This window comes from Homo sapiens, chromosome 5, assembly GCF_000001405.40.
Source record: "Homo sapiens chromosome 5, GRCh38.p14 Primary Assembly".
In the NCBI taxonomy this organism is placed as follows: domain Eukaryota; kingdom Metazoa; phylum Chordata; class Mammalia; order Primates; family Hominidae; genus Homo; species Homo sapiens.
The window spans coordinates 179,929,676-179,938,159 of NC_000005.10; the positions used below are offsets into that span (position 1 = coordinate 179,929,676).

The 8,484-nt window shown below is 40.4% G+C and overlaps 1 protein-coding gene and 1 pseudogene across 1 annotated transcript in view; both read right to left on the bottom strand.

Moving 5' to 3' along the window:
- RNF130 (ring finger protein 130) overlaps positions 1 to 8,484 on the bottom strand; it is a 160,109-nt gene that overhangs the window by 18,025 nt on the left and 133,600 nt on the right. The window lies entirely within an intron of this gene.
- Positions 4,100 to 4,551, bottom strand: RPS15AP18 (ribosomal protein S15a pseudogene 18; annotated as a pseudogene).

The following is an 8,484-nucleotide window of genomic DNA, read 5'->3' on the forward strand; positions in this document are numbered from 1 at the left end:
AGGTCAAGGCTGCAGTGAGCCATGATTGTGCCACTGCACTCCAGCCTGGGTGACAGAGTGAGACTGTGTCTCAAAAAAAAAAAATTCTAGGATCAATTGGTCCAGTTTCAATACACACACCCACACCCACCCACTGGGGTGTGACCGAAATCACAGTAAGTCTATAAGTCACTTTGGGGAGAGCTAACACCTCCATAGTATCGTGTCACTCATTTCAGCCTGTTATATTCACTTAGGTCATCTTTAATTTCTCTCGATAACACATAATTGTTCTCTGTATAAAAGCCTTGCGTATCTTCTCTTACATATATTCCTCAGTATGATGTTTCTTTGATGCTTTTGTAAATGTTATCTTTTTTGAAAATTTCATTTTATTTATTTATCTTTTATTTATTTTTTGAGATGGAGTCTTACTCTTGTCGCCCAGGCTAGAGTGCAATGGCGTGATCTTGGCTCACTGCGACCTCTGCCCCCCGGGTTCAAGCGATTCTCCTGCCTCAGCCTCCCGAGTAGCTGGGATTACAGGCATCTGCCACCACACCCGGCTAATTTTTGTATTTTTAGTAGAGATGGGGTTTCACCACGTTGGTCAGGCTGATCTCGAACTCCTGACCTCGTGATCTGCCCGCCTTGGCCTCCCAGAGTGCTAGGATTACAGGCATGAGCCACTGCACCCGGCCAAAAATTTCATTTTAAATTGCTTATTGTTAGTCTATAGAAATATAATTGATCCTGTTAAATTTACTTACTCATTTTAAGAGCTGATTTGTAGAATATATTGAATTTTCTACATGTAATCGTTTTCTCTGTGAAGAGTGACAGTTTCATTCTTCCTTTCTAATCCTTACACCTTTTATTTCTTTTTCTTGCCATATGGTAATGGCTAACACTGCCAATATAATGTTGAAAGAGACAGTGACAGCAGATAACCTTATTTACAATCTTAGGGAAAAAGTTTTTAATATTTCACTGATAAGTATAATGTTTGCTGTAGTTTTGAAAATATCCATTATTAGATTAAGGAAGCACTCTGTTTTTCCTAGTTTGCTAAAAGTTCTTTTCTTTTAAAATCAAGAATGGAGGCTGGGCGTGGTGGCTCATGCCTGTAATCCCAGCACTTTGGGAGGCCAAGGTGGGTGGATCACTTGAGGCCAGGAGTTCAAGACCAGCCCAGTAAACATAACAAAACCCGGTCTCTACTAAAATTACAAAAAAAAGTAGCTGGGCGTGGTGATGCATGACTGTAGTTCCAGCTACTGGGGAGGCTGAGGCATGAGAACCCAGGAGGCAGAGGTTGCAGTGAGCTGAGATTGCACCACTGCTCTCCAGCCTGGGCTGCAGACCAAACCTCTGTCTCAAAAAAAAAAAAAAAAAAAAAAAAATCAAGAATAGGTGTTGAATTTTAGCAAATGCTTTTTTTGTACCTATTAAGATAAAAACATGGTGACCGCATGACTGATTGGCATTTTGATGACGTCCACGCAAAGCTGGATTCCTGTGACAGTGTTTCCCGCCTGAAGTACCGCACATCTGAACTGGGACTGTAACACTGATGGCGATACAGTGTGGGGTGCCAGAAATGTCAAAATGAATCACACAAAGTCCATTTTGTTTACCTATTGTATCAAAGGGGAGTCTAGGGACAATGGTAGTATTTGTTTTTAATCAGCTGTGAAAACATATTACAGTTCTGCACATTTTCTGTGTTCTTTTGTGTGTGTGCTTTAAGTGTAGCTTTTTTGTTTTTTGTTTTTTTTCTTTTTTGTTGGCAGTAACAGATTTTAATGAATCACTGTTTAAACTACAGTACAGGCCAGGCGCAGTGGCTCATGCCTGTAATCCCAGCACTTTGGGGGGCCGAGGTGGGCGGATCACCTGAGGTCAGGAGTTCGGGACCAGCCTGGCCAAAATAGTGAAACTATGTCTCTACTAAAATAGAAAAAATTAGCCGGGCGTGGTGGTGCCTGCCTGTAATCCCAATCCCAGCTACTCGGGAGGCTGAGGCAGGAGAATTGCTTGAACCTGGGAGGCGGAGGTTGCAGTGAGCTGAGATGGTGCCACTGCACTCCAGCCTGGGCGACAGAGCCAGACTCTGTCTTAAAACAAACAAACAACAAAACTACAGTACAAAGACTTTGTAACTGTGATTCAGGCCCCCCAGCACCCCCGTGACTGTAGAGTACCTTCAAAACTCAGCTGTCCCAGCCAGTGCCAACCTGTGAACTTCCCGCCATATCCCAGATCTGCTATCCCCCAAACCACTTCCCAGTTTTCCTTTGAGTCATCTTTCTGAAGGAGCCAAGACAATAGGGGTCTGCTGTGTAGTAAATTTCTTTATTATTTGCAGCCTTTAAAATGTAATTTCCATCTCTTGCAATAAATTTGTTTCCTTTTCTTTGTTTCACTTTAGTTAAAATTTCAGGTATTTAGCTCCCCTTTTGTACCATTAAAAAAATTTAAAGTTACCTGTTATAGGGTGTTCCTTCAGAAGCAAAGAGCAAAATTTTACTGTTGTACCAATTCTAATTGTAATTTTAAGTTCCATGTGTTTAATCATTGTCTCTTCATTTCAAGACCTTTAATACAAATGTCTTTTATTTGAGAGGGAGTCTCGCCCTGTTGCCTAGGCTGGAGTGCAGTGGTGCAATCTCAGCTCACTGAAACCTCCACCTCCCAGGTTCAAGCGATTCTCCTCCCTCAGCCTCCTGAGTAGCTGGGACTACAGACATGCGCCACCACTCCCGGCTGATTTTTCTGTATTTTTAGTAGAGACGGGGTTTCACCATATTGGTCAGGCTGGTCTCAAACTCCTGACCTCAAATGATCCGCCCGCCTCAGCCTTCCAAAGTGCTGGGATTACAAGTGTGAGCCACCACGCCCGGCCTTAGCTAATATTTTCTTAAAACATTTACGTCTGTTTGGGAGGCCGAGATGGATGGATCACCTGAGGTCAGGAGATCAAGACCAGCCTGGCCAACATGGTGAAACCCTGTCTCTACTAAAAATACAAAAATTAGCCAGGCGTGGTGGCACATCTGTAATCCCAGCTACTTGGGAGGCTGAGGCAGGAGAATCACTTGAACCTGGGAGGCGGGGATTGCAGTAAGCTGAGATTGTACCACTGCACTCCAGCCTGGGCAACAGAGTGAGACTTGGTTTCAAAAATACACAAAAAATTTACATCTGTATTCACAAAAGAAATTAACCTGTAATTTTCTTTCTTGTAATGCCCTTGTAATAATTTGGTATCAAATCAAATTAACAGGTTTCTGCTGATCAAGAAAGAAGACCAAAATGACCATTATCAGGAATGAAAAAGACATCACTGCAAAGCCTACAGACATTAAAAATAATCATAAGGTACAAAGAAATAGAGCGCAGAGGAGCGATTACCAGGGTGTTATTTAATGGGTATAGAGTTTCAGATTTGCAAGATCCACAGAAGGACTTGGGAAGTTCTCCTCTTTTTCTAGTCTCAGGACAAATTTGTGGAAGACTGGTGCTACTTTTTCCCTCAAAAGTTAAAAAGAATTCACCAATGAAATCATCTAGGCCCAGAGTTTTTCTTTGAGGAAATATTTTAAACTATGGATTCAATTTATTACCTAGATGTAGGAGAATTTAGGTGTCCTATTTCTTCCTGTATCAATTTTGGTACTTTGTATTTTTCAAAATCATCAATTTATTTTCAGAATTTACTAACAATGTTCTCATAACCCTATTTGTGTGTGTGTGTGTGTGTGTGTGAGTGTGTGGTAAAAAGCATATAAAATTTGCCATCTCAACCATTTCTATTTATTTATTGTGGTTTTTGTCCATTGAGGCATTTTATTTTACTTTTTAATTTAAAACTTTTTTTTTTTTTGAGACATGATCTCCTCTGTTGCCCAGGCTGGAGTGCAGTGGTGCAATCATGGCTCACTGCACTCTTGACTTCCCGGGCTCAGGTGATTCTCCTGCCTCAGCCTCCCGAGTAGCTGAGACCACAGTCACGCTCCACCATGCCGGGCTAATTTTTTCTACTTTTTGTAGAGATGGAATTTCACCATGTTGCCCAGGCTGGTCTCGAACTCTTAGGCGCAAGCGATTCACCTAGGCAGCATTTTAATTTTAAGTATGTATTACATCACTAGATAAAGAATCCCAGGATTTTCCCTCCTGTGTGTTTTTGTCTTGCTTCTTCATGGTCCATGTTGCCAGCTGAGGTTGTTAGTAAAATGAATCCAAACTGTCAGAATGGGAGCAGACTGTTCTGCCATTTTTTCTAGATCTTTGAGCTGCACCTCCAAGTTGGGGCTGATTATGGCACACTTGTTTAACCTGCCTGTGAAGCTCACAACAGTGTTCCCAGCTCTGTGACGATCAGATTTCAGATTTGCCAGTGGAATCATGCTTCATCACCGCAGTTAGAAACCGGAAGACGACTTTGAAGCACGGCCTAATAAGAACCTGGTGTTTGCCTCTCCTTTAGACATTGTGGATGCTCTTGAGAGCAGCAGCCTCGACGTTGGCGCATAGCAGCCTGGCGGCATGGAAAGGTGGTGGGAAGAGCTCAATCATTTTAAAGTATACGGTTCAGTCGTGGTAAATATATTTACATTATTGTGAAATGCATCTCCAGAACTTTTTCATCTTGCAAATCTGAAACTCTACACCCATTAAATAACCCCCTGGTAATCGCTCCTCTGCACTCTACTTCTTTGCACCTTATGATTATTTTTAATGTCTGTAGGCTTTGCAGTGATGTCTCTTTTCATTCCTGATAATGGTCATTTGGGTCTTCTTTCTTGATCAGCAGAAACCTGTTAATTTTATTCGTCATTTTAAAGGAACAACTTCGTGTTTGGTTGATTTCTTTTCTTTCCTTTTTTTTTTTTTTTTTGGTGGTGGGGACAGGGTCTGACTCTGTTGCCCAGGCTGGAGTACAGTGGCAAGATCATCATGGCTCACTGCGAACTTATGGGTTCAAGTGATCCTGCTGCCTCAGCCTCCCAAGTAGCCAGACCACAGGTGTGCGCCACCACATCCGGCTACTTTATTTTTATTCTTGTAGAGATTTTTCTTGCTATGTTGCCCAAGCTGGTCTCAAACTCCTGGCTTAATGTGATCCTCCATGCCTCAGCCTCCCGGGTCACGTAATTCCAGGATTACAGGCATGAGCTACCATGCTCGGCTTGGTTGATTTTTTTTCTATTGTATATTTGTTTTCCATTGAATTTAGGTAAGATCTTTATTTCCTTCCTTTGATTTAGTTTGTTGTTCTTTGAGACAAATGCTTCGAACTTTTCGCTAGGCTTTCGAGATTTAAGGTCGCAGATTTCCCTCTAGCATGGCTTTAGCTGAATTACGTAAGTTTTGATATGTCATACTTCTATGAGCATTCAATGAAACATTTTAAAATAATTTCCACTGCGATTTCTTCTTTGATTCATGACTTTTTCTTTTGGAAGTATATTGTTTAATTCCAAACATTTGGGGATCATTCTAATTATCTTTTTGTTATTGATTTATAACTTAATTCCGCTGGTCAGAAAACATACTCTACAGATTTCAATCCTTAAATATTAGTTGAAATTTGCTAAATTTATTGAAATTTATCATCCAGCATATAAGTCTATCTTAGTAAATAATCTATGTGTACTTAAAAAAATATATACCCTGTAGTTGATGAGGGCTATATAAATATATATGTTAATTACATCTTGTCTGTTAATTGTGACATTCAAATCTTCTAGATCCCTGGGGAGCATCTGTCTGATGCTCTATCATTTTACTTTCATTTTATTTTCTATCATCTGACTTTCAACATTTGTTTCTTTTCATTAAAGATATGTCAGCACGTGTGTGTGTGTGTGTGTATACATTTTAAATCTATCTTTGAGTATTTAATTATCCATTTCTATTCATTACTAACATGTTGGGACTTAAATCCATAATTACATTACTCATTTTCTGCTTGGCTCGCTGGTCCTATAGTCCTCTCCTCTAAGTTTTTTCCTCTTCTTTTGGATGACTTTTTGTTATTACAGTTTTCTCTCTATTAGTGTATTATATTATTATTTTATAATGCTTTTAGTGGCTATGCTGGCCTAGAGATCATTTTACTTTTTTTTTAGTTGTTACCCTGGATTATGACACGTATCCTTGATTTATTAGAACCTAATATAAATGAGTACTTTGACTCCTTCCTGGACAATGCAAGCATGTTAGAGCAGTTTTACCTCACTTGTCCCCTCCCATCTTTTGTGCAGTTGATGTCAAGCGGTCTCCACAAGGGATGAGTATCAGCGTCTCACACATCGAGCAGCACTTAGGTTACCCACATGTGTCTCCTTTCTGCTCTTTACTCTTCCTGCATCTCCGTGTTTCCATCTGGAATCCTCTTCCTTCTGCCTGAAAAACTAGCTCTTAGTATTTCTGTTTGCTGGAAAATGTCTTATTTCATCTTTCTTTTCTCTTATCTTGAGACAGGGTCTCGCTCTGTCACCCAGGCTGGAGTGCAGAGGCACGATCATGGCTCACCACAGCCTTGACCTCCTGGGCTCAAGCAATCTGAGGCCTCAGCCTCTGAGCAGCTGGGACTACAGGTAATTAAAAAAAATTTTTTGTAGAGACAGGGTCTTGCTATGTTGCCCAGGCTGGTCTTGAACTCCTGAGCTCAAGTGATCCTCCTGCCTCAGACTCCCAAACTGCTGGACCCATGCTGGCTAATATTTTATATTTTAATTTTTTTTGTAGAGACGGGTTCTCATCATGTTGCCCAGGCTTGTCTTGAACGCCTGAGCTCAAGCAATCCTCCTGTCTTAGCCTCCCAAAGTGCTGGGATTACAGGTGTGAGCCACCACACCTAGCCAACTTTATTTTCAATGGCTTTCCCCACTAGATGTTTAGGTTGGCAGATATTTTTCCTCCCAATACTTTACTATTTTCTGGTTTCTGTCAAGATACCAACCGTTAGCCTTTCATTGCTACTTTAAAGTAAAGCATCTCTTTATTGAAAAAGGAAAAACAAAGCTGGAAGACTCAAACTTCCCAATTCTAAGACTACTATAAAATTACAGTAAACAAGGCAGCATGGTACTGCCATAAACACAGACATACAGATTAATGGAATAAAATTGAGAGTCCAGAAATAAACTCATACATCTATGGCCAAGGGTTCCAAGACCACTCAGTGGGGGAAAGAACAGTCTCTTCAAGAAATGGTATTGAGAAAACTGGATATCCACATGCAAAAAAATGGCGTTGGACCCTACTTCACACCATACAAAAATATTAACTCAAAATGGATCAAATACCTAAATGTGAGTTCTAAAAGTATAAAACCGATGGAAGTTTTTGCGACCACCAATTTGTCAATGGTTTCTTAGCTTTGACACCTAAAGCATAAGCAACCAATGAAAAAACAGACAAATTGGATATCATTAAAACGAAATATCATCAAAACGAAATATCATCAAAACGAAATATCATCAAAACGAAATATCATCAAAACGAAGTATCATCAAAACGAAATATCATCAAAACGAAATATCATCAAAACGAAAGACTTGTGCTTTGAAAGATGCTATCAAGAAAACGAATACACAACTTATAGAATGGAGAAAACATTTGTAAATCACGTATCTGATAAGGGCCTAGTATCTGGAATGTATAAAGAAACTCTTACAACTCAACAGCAAAAGACAACCTGATTAAAAAATGGGCAAAGGACTTAACAGACAATTCTCCAAAGAAGATGTATGAGTGGCTAACTTAATGCACGTAAAAAGATGCTCAGCATCACTAGGCATTAGGGAAATGCAAATCAAAACCATGATGAAATGCCATTCACACTCATTAGAAATGGCTATAATTTTAAAAAAGGAGGGGGGATAACAAGTGTTGGCAAGGAGGTAGCAAATCAGAACCCTTATACATTGTTGGCAGGAATGTAAAATGGTTTAGCCATTGTGTAAAAGAGTTTGGAGGCTCCTCAAAAAGTTAAACTAGAATTCTATGACCCAGCAATTCCACTGCTAGGTATATAACCCAAAGAATTGAAAACAAGGATGCAAACAGATTCCTGCAAACCAATGTTCACAGTATTGTTCATCATGGTTAAAAGGTGGAAACAGCCCAAATGTCCATCAGTGGATGAGGAGATGAACAAATTGTGGTGTAGACATACAATGCACTGTTATTCAGCCATAAAAAAAATGAAGTGTTGACATATGCTTTCAATGAATCTGTGTGTGTGTGTGTGTGTGTGTGTGTGTGAGAGAGAGAGAGAGAGAGAGAGAGAGAGAGAGAGAGACAGAGACAGACAGGGTCTCACTCTGTCACCTAGGCTAGAGTGCAGTGGCATGATCACAGCTCCACAACCCAGACTCCCGGGCTCAAGTGATCCTCCCACCTCAGCCTCCCGAGTAGCTGGGACTACAGGTACGCGGCACCACGTCTGGCTAATTTTTGTATTTTTTTGTAGAGATGGGGTTTTGCCAC